The sequence below is a fragment of the Homo sapiens genome, chromosome 7 (assembly GCF_000001405.40).
Source record: "Homo sapiens chromosome 7, GRCh38.p14 Primary Assembly".
Lineage (NCBI taxonomy): Eukaryota > Metazoa > Chordata > Mammalia > Primates > Hominidae > Homo > Homo sapiens.
The window spans coordinates 22,853,226-22,867,953 of NC_000007.14; the positions used below are offsets into that span (position 1 = coordinate 22,853,226).

The 14,728-nt window shown below is 44.9% G+C and overlaps 1 long non-coding RNA gene and 1 other non-coding gene across 2 annotated transcripts, besides 5 other annotated features; both read left to right on the forward strand.

Moving 5' to 3' along the window:
• Positions 830–1,289: a silencer, noted in NCBI's record as "silent region_18004". NCBI's record gives its function as "represses an Ori minimal core promoter by ATAC-STARR-seq in GM12878 lymphoblastoid cells {active_cell/tissue: GM12878}" and the evidence as "EXISTENCE:reporter gene assay evidence [ECO:0000049][PMID:35858748]".
• SNHG26 (small nucleolar RNA host gene 26) lies at positions 1,015–8,211 on the forward strand. Its single transcript, NR_146320.1, has 5 exons — positions 1,015–1,055; positions 3,297–3,331; positions 3,748–3,791; positions 7,322–7,413; positions 7,661–8,211. It is a non-coding gene; the product is annotated as a small nucleolar RNA host gene 26 (long non-coding RNA).
• Positions 1,387–1,998: an enhancer, noted in NCBI's record as "NANOG-H3K27ac-H3K4me1 hESC enhancer chr7:22894231-22894842 (GRCh37/hg19 assembly coordinates)". NCBI's record gives its function as "activates a minimal SCP1, AML or CMV promoter by ChIP-STARR-seq in primed H9 embryonic stem cells {active_cell/tissue: H9 hESC(primed)}" and the evidence as "EXISTENCE:reporter gene assay evidence [ECO:0000049][PMID:30033119]".
• Positions 1,387–2,019: a biological region, named in NCBI's record as "NANOG-H3K27ac-H3K4me1 hESC enhancer GRCh37_chr7:22894231-22894842".
• Positions 1,790–2,019: an enhancer, noted in NCBI's record as "active region_25711". NCBI's record gives its function as "activates an Ori minimal core promoter by ATAC-STARR-seq in GM12878 lymphoblastoid cells {active_cell/tissue: GM12878}" and the evidence as "EXISTENCE:reporter gene assay evidence [ECO:0000049][PMID:35858748]".
• SNORD93 (small nucleolar RNA, C/D box 93) lies at positions 3,388–3,461 on the forward strand. The gene has a single exon (NR_003075.1). It is a non-coding gene; the product is annotated as a small nucleolar RNA, C/D box 93 (small nucleolar RNA).
• Positions 5,285–6,484: an enhancer, noted in NCBI's record as "BRD4-independent group 4 enhancer chr7:22898129-22899328 (GRCh37/hg19 assembly coordinates)". NCBI's record gives its function as "activates an origin of replication core promoter dependent on BRD2, P300/CBP, MED14 and CDK7 cofactors, and independent of BRD4, by STARR-seq in HCT116 cells {active_cell/tissue: HCT116}" and the evidence as "EXISTENCE:reporter gene assay evidence [ECO:0000049][PMID:35650434]".
• Positions 8,212–14,728: the final 6,517 nt, after the last annotated feature.

The window sequence follows — 14,728 nt, forward strand, 5'->3', positions numbered from 1 at the left end:
ACACCAAGCTCCCTCTGAAATCTGCAGGGGAGGGTCCTTCCTTGCCTCTTCCTAGCCTTTCTCCGGTGGTGGCCGGCAATCCACCGCATTCCTGGGCTTACAGCTGCATCACTCTGATCTGCCCCTGTCCCGCCACATTTTCGTGTGTCTCTGTCTTCAAGTGGCATTTTGACACCGTGTGATAAGGACATCAGTCATGTTGAATTAGGAGGGTCCACCCCAATGATCTCGTCTTGACCACATCTGTAAAGACGCAGTTTTTCCAAGTTAGGTCGCATTCACAGGTGCTGGAGGTTAGGTCTTCAATGTCTTTGGGAGTGGGGACAAATTCAGTCCTTAACACTCATGTTCTATATGTAGTGCTGCTTAGGCATCCAGCCAACAGACCTGCTTATTTTACTGCAGTCAGAATACCTTCTCCCCTTCCTCCTCACAGTCCAATGACACAGACGTGCTTTGGGGGCAAGATATTTGCGGGCCGTGGCCATCATTCTAAGCATGCAGCACTCCAGGCACCAGGAGTCCTCCCCGTGCTTCAACCCCTCTTCGATGAGTTTGCACCCCCGACCTCCGCTAATGTTCACATCCTTTAACGGGAGCCAGTCTTCTGCTACGTAATTAGACGAGTCTTGAAAGAAGCACCCAGGGGCGTGGCTGAAGACTTTAAGAAACACCAGGCAAGGGAGGGGAGTGGGTACCAGAGACACCTAACATTATTTGAGTGGCAGGAGCTTCCTCTGACCTTCAACGAGGTAAAGAGACATCACAGCCAGCGAGAGTTTGGGGCAGACTCCCCAGACTCGGAGGCCGGGGCAAAGTGGGAGCCGGGGCCAAGTGGGAGCCGGGGCCGTGTGGGGTGGGGGGGGGGGCCCAAGGCGGGGAAGGCCCGGGCCGCCGACAGGGGGCGCGCGAGGGCCTCCGGGCCCCGCGGGCGGGGCGGGTGCTGGACCCGGAGGGGCCTTCCGGCAACTTTTTGGTTGGTGCCGCCCCGCCCAGGCCCCTTTTAAACTTGATCTCCGCAGTGCCCTCCCTTTTCGGCCGCGGCGCGTGACTGGGTAAGTGGGCTCGGACCTTCTGGACGCAGGAGCCGACCACGTGGCTCCGGGGCTACCCCGTGCGCTTCCTAGGCGCGCCTCTCGCTGCCCCCACGCCGAGGCCTCGGCTCGGCGCCGCGGGGAAGCCTCCGTTAGGGCCCCTCGGGGGTGGGGGCGTCCTCGTGGCGCTTGGGCCCTTCGTCCCGGGTTAGGACGGCCCGTGTCCTTGTGCGCTTGAAGGGGCCGCCCCCTTTCCTCGAGGATCCCACCCCCACTCAGCAGAAGCCGCCAGGCGCCCGTCACCTCCCGTGCCTGAGTCCCTGCCGTCCACGCATTCGGCCTACAGGCAGCTTTTAGTCCTTTTTCAATTAAATGATTGCATTTTGAGGATCAAATTCCAACCGCAGGCGGAGGCGCCGAGCCCCGGACGGTCTCTGGGTTCTTGGTGCACTCGGGGCTCCTGCCTGCCCAGGGGCTGTGACCGCGCGGACGGAAGCCTATTTGGGAAGCGAGTGAGATCTGATGTCTGAAGCGCTTTAAGTTTCTAAGCGGGGCAGTATAATAGCGGGGTTAGCAAACACACGGAGGTCATTTCACTCGCGCAGCCATCCCCCACCGCCACCAGTGCCGTTCATTTGCTACTGGCCCGCAGTCAGATAATTTAAAGGCTTGGAGGGACGAGTCTTGCTGGAGCCGACGCCTACAGTAAGTTGAGCGGAGTGCTGTGAGCCCTAATAAGGGAGCCTGCTTTCCTCCCGAAGATTCGCTTTTTTGGGAGTGGCCAGAGCGTTATTACAGCACAGGGCCCGCTTCCAACGTTTAATCAGGGTGTGAGGAGGCCCTTCGTGGTTTTCTGACCTGGGAAAAGTCTGAACTACTGGGTTCTTTCTGGCTTGGACCAGGACAAGGTGTTGAACGCCTAACTTAGGTCTACTAAGGTGTAGAAATACGCAAGGCTGCCCCTAGAGAACGTTTGTCTGGGGAATAATGTAAGTTTTTGGAGCGGCTCTCCTGAGCATCGCTGAGCATACTAATTGTTCATTACTGGTACAAAATGCTATATAAAGGGATACTTTGCGAATTTAGTAAAATTGATAAAGATCTAAATTTACATTTGAGTCAACAAATAATCTTTGTGGCTAGCATAGGTACCACAGTTCTGTTGGAATGTGAAGCTCGTGGTTCACCTGTTTTCCTCAGTTGTGAAAGATTTGCTGCCTTTTTGATGAAACCAAATGGGACCCATTTTACCATTCTTTAATGAGGAAAGCTTGTACATTTGCAGCCTAGGTTCTAGGCATCTTTTATCCAGCGTTATAGATAGACCCAGAGCATGGACAATTTTCCCTCCCTGGAATACCTCCAGCTCTGGCGAATAGCCCTATATACAGCACAGGAAGATAGCGGTGGTAAGGCTTTGTTTTACCATTGCTTTAGGTGTTAGAGATTCTTATTGAGCCCATTTTATTTTTATTTTATTTTATTTATTTTTTTGAGTCGGAGACTCGCTCTGTCACCCAGGCTGTGGTGCAACGGCGCAATCTCGGCTCACTGCAACCTCTGCCTCCCGGGTTCAAGAAATTCTCCTGCCTCAGCCTCCTGAGTAGCTGGGATTACAGGTGCCCGCCACCATGCCCAACTGTTTGTATTTTTTAGTAGAGACGGGGTGTCACCTTGTTGGCCAGGCTGGTCTTGAACTCCTGAGCTGGTGATTCGCCAGCCTCAGCCTCCCAAAGTGCTGGGATTACAGGCGTGAGTCAGCGCACCCGGCCTGCCAAATTGTTTTTTAACTATTCAGTTTAAACTGTGAGAGACACCATGTCAAGGAAGCAGTGTGAGCTAGCGTCTAAGGATTGTGAAAACTGAGCAAGTGCCCAGAACTAGAAACTTCCCAGCCCCCTGAACTCAGCCTCAGGGTAAGCGAGTTTAATAGTGCTTCCTTTGATTTTCAAATCTGTGGAAGGTTTGTTTCAGTTTTTCCCAGACAAATATTGTTGGGATAGTGTTTCTTTTCAAAAATGGATAGGATTCAATGCTCATCAGTGGGAAGATAGTGACTCCTGACCATTTTCCTCCTAGCTGGAAACTACAGAAGACTCCCAAGTATCAGGAAATTTGGAGAATTTGTACAGGAATTATATTCAGAGATAGCAATTTATTTACTCATCAAAGAGAGCTATTGGATAGCCACCATAAAGACCACTCATTAAAAAACAAAATTGCATGATATTCTTAACATTGTCTTTCACTTTTTTTAACCAGGCTTGGTGGAGTTTCAAGATGCTGATGAACTTAAGGTATGGGCCGAGTGGAAAGAATTTGGTTTAAGTTATTAATAGTTGAATTGAAATTGTGGCCAAGGATGAGAACTCTAATCTGATTTTATGTGCTTCTGCTGTGATGGATTAAAGGATTTACCTGAGGCCAAATTGGTATGCAGGAATTTATTAAATGGAATCATACCCCCCCCCCTTTTAAAATTACGCTTTTGGTAAAAGGGAAAAAGCTCTTGGTAAATGGATAATACTACTAAGCCAAGAGAAAGACAGGATTTTGAGTGAAAACATAAATTTAGATGTCACAACATTACTAAAGCAACAGTGTGTAAGATACTGGACGATTTTATTTACTTACTTGCACAGTTTTTGTAAACAGTCTAGACAGTACTGTATTTTGCTATTTAGTAATACCTACTGTGATACTTCTTTTACAGGTCTGGCGCTTGAAAGAATCAGTGAAGCTTTTCAAGTAGAGGAGGTATATTTGAATATGTAACCTTTAGTATCTACAGAATAGAGGTTGCTTTTTTTTTTTTTTTTTTGTCCCTTTCACAGTGGTAGCAAGGTTGAATTTTGAGATGGCCCCAATCATCTATAGGAATATTATTTGACAGTTTTGGAGACACAAAACTGCCTTATAGCTGACTTGATCCTGTAGAACATTTCTGTGGAATTCAATTCTATTATTTAAGGTAGTTTTTCCATGAACCAGCTGTGGTCTGTAACTTGACAGTGTTAATAAAACAAGTAGCAATACCTTCATCATGGTTCACATGGTCAACAAAGATATGACTTAACTCTAAGATTGTTATTTTACAGTATAGTCTTTTTTTTTTTTTTTTTTTTATAATAGATAGTTTCACTCTTGTTGCCCAGGCTGGAGTGCAGTGGTGCAATCTTGGCTCACTGCACCCTCTGCTACCCAGATTCAAGCGATTCTCCTGCCTCAGCCTCCTGAGTAGCTGGGATTACAGGCGCGTGCCACCACACCCAGCTAATTTTGTATTTTTACACATTTTTGTTTGTTTGTTTGAGACGGAGTCTCACTGTCGCCCAGGCTGGAGTGCAGTGGCACGATCTCAGCTCACTGCAACCTCTGCCTCCCGGGTTCAAGCGATTCTCCACCTCAGCCTCCCGAGTAGCTGAGATTACAAGCTAATTTTTGTATTTTTGTAGAGACAGGGTTTCACCATGTTGGCCAGGCTGGTCTCGAACTCCTGATCTCAAGTGATCTGCCTGCCTCGGCCTTCCAAAGTGCTGGAATTAATAGGGGTGAGCCACCATGCCCGCCCAGTATATTCTTTTTTTTTTTTTTTTTTTTTGAGACGGAGTTTTGCTCTTGTTGCCCAGGCTGGAGTGCAGTGGCATGATCTCAGCTCACCACAACCTCCACCTCCTGGGTTCAATCAATTCTACCTCAGCCTCCCGAGTAGCTGGAATTACAGGCATGTGCCACCACACCCAGCTAATTTTGTATTTTTAGTAGGGATGGCGTTTCTCCATGTTGGTCAGGCTGGTCTAGAACTCCTGACCTCAGGTGATCAGCCTGCCTCAGCCTCCCAAAGGGCTGGGATTACAGGCGTCAGCCACTATACCCAGCAGTATATTCTTAAATATTACTGTTGAGCCATATATACGACAATGGTGGACTTTGAATGTCCGCACATCTGTAGTAAAATGCAATGCTACCTTCATTTTTTGTTGGTATGCTAAAGAAATTTTAAGTATCTCACTTTTAAAAAAATAGGTTTGTGTATTTTATGTGCTTACACATTTTTCCATAGTACTGTAGATCATTTTAGTGATGAAATTTGATACTTTTGACAGAAAAACAGGTCAGTGAGTTCCTTGGGATCAAAAAGGGGTTGATTACAAGGGCAGGAAGGAATTGTTAGTGTGATTCTACAGTTCTGCATCTTGATTATGGTATGACTGTGCGTTTGTCAAACCTTAACAGGATGAATTTTGCTGAATGTAAAATCATACTTCAATAAACATGACTTTAAAAACTTAACCCTCCTTGGCATTTCAGTGGTGTTTCCAGTGAAATCTATGGCAAGATGGTTTGGGGTCACTATCTACATGAACTGCCAAGTTGGAAAATCAAAAATACATCAAAATCACTCTTGGGACATAAGTCACGGAAGTGACTCATGCACACAATAAATACCCAAGAAGCAGGACCAGACGGCAGTTGTGTATTGGCACGCTCATCAGTGCTGCAAAAATTCCCCTTCTGGATGGCAACAACAATGCTGTATCCACAGCAGCATTTTAAATCTCACCTCTGATGTATCCATTGTTGTGGGCATGAGATGGCAGAAAGTGGGATATGGAAAATGTTGCCGTGCGCCATTCCGAATACTACTGTGGCTTCCCTGCAGCATTACTTTCCATATTGGCTGTTTTCCATTTCAGGAAAGCTTAGGATGTCCTTGGTAAATACTGGCTAACCAAGAAATTTGAAAAATGAAAGGAGGCTGAGTAATTGGTCTTGGGTTGAAACGGGGTGATGCTGCATAAACTACGTGGTTGACTCTGAAAAGCTGGCTAAAAAGCCAGTCTGCATTCCTTGTCCTCATTTCCTTGGAGTAATGAAGGGTGCTTCTTAGAAGAGGGATAGATTCAAGTATGGGTTGTGAGTCATTCTTCTTTTCTGTATGTAATAGGTCTAACCACAGGGCCTGTTGAGCCCTGCCCTGGTGACCAAGAGCATTTTCTGACATGAACAGAGTTAGGCCATCTTGCCCGTATGAGCAGAGTTCTTCAGATGTCCCTTAGGATTCTAGGTTTCATACCTTCCCTGCCACTCCCCCACTACCAAATCCCCTTACCCTATAGCCTAGCAATGCAGAGTTGTCCAATATAGAACCTCTGTTAAACATAGCATCACCCAGGAAAATGGGATGAGTGGTTGCAGTCAGTACCACAGTTCTGCAGAATCAACTTGCTTACCTTAGTACATTGCCTGTCTACGTGTTTAGCAGAGCTAAAAGCAGGAATGGACTGTTAAACTACCATCCTTTTGTGCTCAAGTGCCATGAAGAGAAGCAAACCTGGAGTTGAAAGTTTTCAAAGAGGGCTTCCAAGTGAGGAACTTGGGCATGTGAATCTTTAATTATGACTATAAAAGAAATTGTGATTGGAAATAGAATTTTTATGCTAGTGGTTATGATTTCATTGAAAATAGGAAATCTTATTTAAGAACTCTGGTCACAAAACCTCCCCAGATAGTGACGTAAATAAGACCCAGTGTAACAACTGTGGCATTGACATGTCAGTTCATGTAGATTGAGTCACAATTTGATTTCGAGAATGGCCATATCCCATTTTGTCTTACTCCATGGTGTTCCTGAGCACTTGGATACAAATAGATTCTGTTTCCTAAAAGTAGCCAAATCTTTGTAGTTCAAGTGAATATTCCAGACTAAAATATGTGTCTTTTTGAAGGTCCTTAAGCCTTACATACTTAATTGTGTAATTTGGCAAATATTTGCTGTTGTGTTGTGTCAAGTCCTGTGATAGAGACAGTTCCTACCTTTCTGGAGCTTTCACAGTGTGACTCATTTCAGTACGTAAGTCGGAGCCAGTTTTAATAGAATGTTCTCTGGTTGACTTCTGTTGTAAGGAATAATTTCATTTCATGTCTGGGTCAATATGTGAAAGATTAAATTATTAGGGCAAACTGAAAAAAAAAATCTAGTTTTACCCCCCCACCACCACATTCCCAAAATAATTTAGCATGGTTTATAACAAATATCAAGCAACAATAATTAGAAGCAGATAAAAGCTCAGCAAGTAGAGGGCAAGAATAAAAAACCTAACTGTTAGATCTCATGCTGTAGGCTCCAGCCAAGTTGTCTCTGAGCTTCCTAAGAGCAAAGAGCCAACTGGCAAGTTAGTAATCAGGCAATTGCCATAATTTTCTAATGGAGGAGGGGAGTGGTCATGTGCATTCTAAGCTCTTTAAAGCCGAGGAGTAAGCTTTCTTTCCTTCATGATCTCAAGTACTCTACTTTGAAGAAAGGAATGGAACAGAAGGTGTCTGCATAACTAAATGGGGATCTAGAGAAAGTGGAGACTGCCTCTGGAGCAGGGAGGTGAGTGGACCAGATCACTGTGGGCCTGGGCCTACTCAGCTGATTTTCAAGCTAAAACCAGGGGTAACTTTTCCTCTTGAGACGAAAGCCATGCTCACATTCTGTGAACAGCCAGAGATGTGTTCGAAAGGCTTACTTTTATTTTGTACTAGAAAAGATTGTCTTTCCAAAATTTACCTCGTATTCATAAACTGGAAAGTTCTGATGGCAATATTTTGTTACAAAATTGTCATTAATCACAATCCAGGATTATGCCACCATGACTAGAAGGCCCCCTAATGGAGTTTATCTGCACTGCAAGGGGCCAGTTGTCTCAGAATCATCCTCCGTTGACATCTCCATCTCCAGGACAGCTCCACACTAATCTGTTTCAAAGACAAAATCCAGTCTAATCAGTTTGATGTATGTTTCTGGGAATAGAGCCGAATGTTGTAGCTGATGGAATGGAGTCTCATACCATTGATTTTGCAGCTGGACAAGTGCCCTGCCATGTTACTGCCACTCTTTAAGGCAGAATAGAGCACATTGTATCATTTATAGGCCTCTCACAGTGAGAAATATGTGGAACTTTGGAAATCAGAATCTAAAACTGCAGTCCAATGGGGTAGCCACTATTCACATGTGCTATTGAGTACCTAAAATGTGGCTAGACCAAGTTGACATGTGCTGAAGGGTGAAAAACACCAGGAGTGAAGAATTAACTTGAAAAAAATGTAAACTATCTCAATTTTATATTGATTACAAATTAAATGATGTTTTGAATATATTGAGTTAAATGAAATACATTTTTTAATGATACATGATGCGTATTATATTTCTGTTGGACAGTACTGGTCTAAAACAGTTGATTCACTATCCAGTAGAGAGAAAGGTATTGCTGTTTTACCATATGTGACCTTCAGGGAAAAGAAGAATAAAATTAGCACTTGAAAATGGAAAAACTTACAGATAAGCAGCTATTATTTGAAGGGCAGAAGGTGCAGGGGTACTCAGCACTACTTAGAAGATTTGACATAAATTCTATACTCAAGTTGCTAGTACTTCTGGAGATTTTAAATGAAAGACTTCAGAGTGTATTTAGTAAACACTCTGCTATGCCCACTCTACAAGCATCTGTGTGTTCATTAATCAAGAGCAGGCCAGGTGCAGTGGTTCTCACAGTGGCTCCCACCCAGCACTTTGGGAGGCCAAGGCGGGTAGATTGCTTGAACTCAGGAGTTTCAGACCAGCCTGGGCAACATGGCAAGACCCCATCTCTAAATAAACGTAAAAAAAAAAATTTTTTTTTTTTTTTTTTTGAGATGGAGTCTTGCTCTGTCACCCAGGCTGGAGTGCAGTGGTGGTCTCGGCTCACTGCAACCTCCACCTCCTGGGTCCAAGCAATTTTCCTGCCTCAGCCTCCCGGTAGCTGGGATTACAGACGTGTGCCACCATGTCTGGCTAATTTTTGTACTTTTAGTAGAGACAGGATTTCACCATGTTGGCCAGGCTAGTCTCAAACTCCTGATCTCAAGTGATCCACCCACCTCGGCCTCCCAAAGTGCTGGGATTACAGGTTTGAGCCACCATGCCTGACCCCAAATTTTTTTAGTTAAGAGCAAAAGGACTTGGTATGCTACATCTCATCAAAATGCAACTTCCTTAATGAAGAACCATATAAAGGATAGTTCTAGTTTCTTTTTTTTTTTTTTTTTTTTGAGACGGAGTCTCGCTCTGTCACCCAGGCTGGAGTGCAGGGGCACGATCTCGGCTCACTGCAAGCTCCGCCTCCTGGGTTCACGCCATTCTCCTGCCTCAGCCTCCCAAGTAGCTGGGACTACAGGCGCCCACCTCCACGCCCGGCTAATTTTTTCTGTTTTTAGTAGAGATGGGGTTTCAACGTGTTAGCCAGGATGGTCTCGATCTCCTGACCTCATGATCCACCCGCCTGGGCCTCCCAAAGTGCTGGGATTACAGGCGTGAGCCACCGTGCCCGGCCAGTTCTAGTTTCTTGATCCCTGATCTTAGTGTGTGTGTGTGTGTGTGTGTGTGTGTGTGTATACTAAAGTGTCTTTCAGGGTTTTGGTTTTTTGATTTTTTTTTTTTTTAATGGAAGGGGAGAGATTGTGGGAAGTGGCACCATAAATCTTACCTTGTATAAAGCACTCTTTTAAAAAATTACCTTATGTTAAGCAAAATGTTCCATAAAACTCTCCTTTTCCTGTCTTCACTGTGTGCTTTAAAAAACAGGTCTGTGTAAATTCTCTTGTAGTTTTGTTGCTACTAATAATGACATTTTGTCTTTTTGTGTTTAACAGTAATTGAATTCTTCCCTTAGTTTTCACATTTCTCTTAAGTAGTTGTTCTTAATAGTGACTGGGGATGGTGGGGAAAATGTGTCCCCCTCAGGGTGGACAAACTGGGAAAAGAACCAAAATCCCACACCCAATGAATTGAGACCAAACATCATTGACCACACTCCACCTCTCTAATTTTAACATTGACCAGAATATTCTAATTTTATTTATTTATTTATTTATTTATTTAATCTTTTTAGAGATGATAGGGTCTCACTCTGTTCCCTAGCCTGGAGTGCAGTGGCACCATCATAGCTCACTGCAGCCTTGAACTTCTGAGCAGTCAATCCTCTTGCTTCAGCCTCCTGAGTAGCTGGGACTACAGGCACGTGCCAACATGCCCAGCTGATTTTTTTAAAAATTTGTAGAGATGGGTTCTTGCTATGTTGTTCAGGCTTGTCTCAAACTCCTGGCCTAAAGCGAATTTCCCACCTGGGTCTACCAAAGTGTTAGGATTACAGGAGTGAGCATGCACCCAGCCAATACTGACTAATTTTAAAACCTGAAGAACAATAAGAACCTGAAAACATTGAGTTATTATATTGGCAAAAGCAAAACAAGCCCCTTTAAGATGTCTGGGGTGGAATCTCTGACTGGCTAATGAGTATGCCAGGAGTCAGACCCCTTTCAAACTCTGGATAGCACCACCACTGCCAAGATACATTTAATGCAGTTGATGCTTTTGGCAAAAGGCAACGACGCAATTGCTCTCAAATGTAGCAAAGCCCAAGGTAGACACACAGCAGCAACACAGGGAAATCATTGAAAACAGTGTGAGACGGTGCCAGTGTTACCCGAGCTCTGAGAAACCAGAGGTGCTGCCTACCTCTTAGGTTAAAGGCGTCCAAATGCCCTTCGTTGTCTTATTTGCATGGACATGTTTAATCCTATACTTTCTTGCATAAAAAAAAAGAGTACAGCACATGCCCTATGGTTACAAACAGTTTGGAGATGAAAACCAGCATGCCAAATTGCTGGGGCTATGGGGCCAGTGTAATGAGGATGAAGTGGATGTGGTCTGATATGGTCTGGTTCCGTGTCCCCACCCAAATTTCATCTTGAATTATAATCCGAATTGTAATCCCCATGTGTTGGAGGGGGGATCTCATGGGAAGTGATTAGATCATGGGGGCAGTTTCCCCCATGCTATTCTCATGATAGTGAGTTCTCACGAGATCTGATGGTTTTATAAGTGTCTGGCATTTCCCCTGCTGGCACTCATTCTCTTTCCTGCCGTCCTGTGAAGAGGTGCCTTCCACCATGATTGTAAGTTTCCTGAGGCTTCTCCAGCCATGCAGAACTGGGAGTCAAGTAAACCTCTTTTCTTTATAAATTACCCAGTCTTGGATATGTCTTTCTTAGCATGAGAATGGACTAAAACAAGGTCCATAGGTTGTTCAGGGAGCACTGCACACCATCCACAGCCCCTCACTCCACTTCTGAAACATTTTCCTAAAGAAGCTGAGTCACAGTGAGGGCAAAGGACCAGAGGCCAGCAGGGCAGCAGCGTAGGCTAAGAATGAATGTGAATAGAAATCAGAGGACCTTGGTGAGAATTCTGGCTCTGGCATTGACTAGCACTGTTGCCTTGGTTGCCTTTTTGTTGCTCATCTGTGAAATATGAATATTTCAAGTGCTATCTCATTGGAAGATTCTATGATAGTACTATAGAACTGTACATGGTAGTAACTGTCATAATTTGTGGCCTTATATTTATCTTTTTGAATCACCATCACCACCATCATCATCAGATGCACTCTAACTTCACTTGGAGGTATTTATTTATGCCCCCACTTCATTACAAAAATGTTTAAGACATGTTTAAGACAAAGAGAAAAGATTGAGCTTCCAATCTAGTTCCATTTCTAGATGTTTCCTCTTCCTTTCCTGGTTTAGCAGAGGAAAAACTGGCCTCCTTGTTTCCCCATTCCCCCCCCACCCCCCCCCCTTTCAACCACATGAAGAGGCTGTATTTGATTACACTTCAGAAGCAGCCTCCGAACCTACTGTGTAGGCATCAAATAGGACAGAAGTGAGCTGTGGCAATGACCATGTCCTCACATGACAACATCTCCCCTGGGGGCTCTAGTGCCTCCTCCCAGGGGACCCACTCCCAGCTTCTGACTGCCTGATTGGTTTTTCAGCCAGCTGAGCTTCTAGATTCTCCCTGAGATCCACCTCTGGCCCTGTAAAGGCCTCCTGGTTGCCTCTGTCCTGATCCCCGCACTTAGCTCTGGACTGAAGAATTATCTGGAGATAATGTGCTTTGTCCTCCAGTGTCTGCCTTTGCAGAGCACCAGCCAGGCGTTTTGTTCCAGGCTGCTCCAGCCACCCTGCTGTGGCTTCCACATGGATGTCCTGATCAGGTCCCCCATCCACCATCCTCCTGGGCTGTCCTGACCACTCTCGCTGGCCTCTATGTCTCTCTGGGCTTGGCCTGTCAAGGACCTCGATTCACTCTGGACTCTGACCCAGAGTTCGCCTGTAAAATCCCCACACTTGGCTCTTAGCAAGCAGTGCTTACAAAGTTAGGAAATATTTGTAAAATGCTGCCATGGTATAATGTGAAGCGCTCAAACAAGTCAGGGCTAATGATGCACTGAGAATTATTTCTAAATTGAGGGCATAAAGAGTTACAGTTCTTCGATTTTAAAAAGCAAAGTGACTTTTAATGCATCAAATCTTACTGTAGCCAGAGTACTGTAACTTAGTTTCCATCAGAATGGAAATAAGTAGTTACTGAGCAAGCAGCTGGATGAGCCCTATGCTTGATGATACATATTGAATTCCAAGGTAGGCCACAGGCCACTCCTCCCGGGGACAGGATCCATCATCACAGCCACCAGGCCCAATAGTGTGAGCCATGCTAAGAAATGAAATGATATATCATTTAGGGCACTGGTGCTTTTCTTTTTCTTTTTCTTTTTTTTTTTTTTTTGAGGAGTTTTGCTCTTGTCCCCCAGGCTGGAGTGCAATGGTGTGATCTTGGCTCACTGCAACCTCTGCATCCCAGGTTCAAGCCATTCTCCTGCCTCAGCCTCCCAAGTAGCTACAATTACAGGTGCCACCACCACGCGTGGCTAATCTTTTCTTTTTTTTTTTTTTTTGAGACGGAGTCTCACTCTGTCAGAGTGCAGTGGCACGATCTCGGCTCACTGCAACCTCTGCCTCCCACTTTCAAGCAATTCTCTGCGTCAGCCTCCCAAGTAGCTAGGATTACAGGCGCCTGCCACCACGCCCGGCTAATTTTTGTATTTTTAGTAGAGATGGGGTTTCACCATGTTGGCCAGGCTTGTCTCAAACTCCTGACCTCGGGTGATCCGCCCGCCTCGGCCTCCCAAAGTGCTGGGATTACAGATGTGAGCCACTGCGCCCAGTGGCACTGGTGCTTTTCATGTCTGCAGTTTCAACCCCTTACCCCCAACCCCAAGGTCATGTGTAATCCTGGTATGAATAAATGTAAATGGTGCTTGCTGGCCTTAGGTGTGTGAGAGTCAGAAGCATCCATTTCACCACTCAGGCCTAAGGTTCTCTATGTCTCACTACCCACCCTGCACCCCAGACCTCACACAGCAACACTCATGAGAGCCACCAAAATTGTAACGAAAATATAATGATGACAATGAGGACAAGTCTTTCCTATAACTGAGAAAGTTCTGTGCTAAACATGTTACCTATGGAAATTATTTCAGTGCATTCTCTGGATTTCACTGAGAAGTAGCTACCATTATTATTCTTATCTCCATCTTATGGAACAGGAAATGGTGACATGGAGCTTCAGTAACTGGCCAACATCATCAGACAGCATGGCCCCGGGTCCTGAGCTTTGTCCCTCATGAGTGTCGAGAGTGTTCTGTGTTTCTGCTGGGCACGGTGGCACATGCCTGTAGTCCCAGTCGCTCAGGAGGCTGAGGTGGGAGGATTGCTTGAACCCAGGAGTTTGAGCAGAGCCTGAGCAACATAGCAAGAAGCCATCTAAAAAAAAAAAAAAAAAAAAAAAAAAATCCAAATATCTTGCAGAGTAAAAACATAAAACAAAAAAATTAAAAGATTTCTATCACTCTGGAATCCTCATTCGGGATACAGCAAAAAAAAAAAGATTACTTATTGCAATAGAGAAAACACCAAGTGTCTCTCATACTGAATGTTTTTCCAGATTGCAGGCACTGCAGTGAGCTTTCGTGTTTTCCAAATGCGATCATTTCCTTTGTGTCAGTAAGAGCCAAATTATCCTAGTAAACAGGAGTTGCTAGTGGACTTTTTTTTTCTTTTTGAGCTAAATACTTTAGTGTAATATAATGTGAACTGCATAACTCTTAAATGGCTAATCTGTTCTTCAGTTTCGTGCAATTAAAGACTAGAAGTGCAAGTCAAATGCCCTAATAAAAGATAATCTACCCATCAGGTACCCAACTTACAGTATTTTAGAGGCTAGGTAATCTCTAGATGAAAGAATAAGTTTCTAAATCATTTGGAATTAGGAACACAGTTTTTTCTCATACATGCATATTGCCTCAAAAGAAGGAGACTCCCAGGCTAGCTCATGGTTTTCTAACCTCATTAATTGAGCTTACAACATTCTTATTTCCTCTCTCCCAGTATTTCAAAGCTTCTGTAGACCAAGGGGTTCTGGGTCACGACAGCAGAAGTCAGGAACAGCTCCCCCAACCCCATGGTCCCACCCCACTGTGGCCTCAGAGATGAGAAGGTGAAGCTCTGAGTCCCAGGAGGGCAGGGACCTTGCTTCAACTCAGTGCCTGGGGTAGAGAATGTGGTGCACTGAAGCGGTATGTGGGAAGGGCTGGTGAATGAGGGGGTTTTTGATCTACAACTTCCACCACTCACTGCCACAATTTCCACTCTCCCCATCCTGTTTCTAGCCTAGGGGTGAGGAATCCCCTGGCTCTGAGCTGTGGCCTCAGAGAGGGGCTTTGCAGGTGGTGACTTTGAATTGAGGAGGAAGGAAAAAGGCTCAAAGA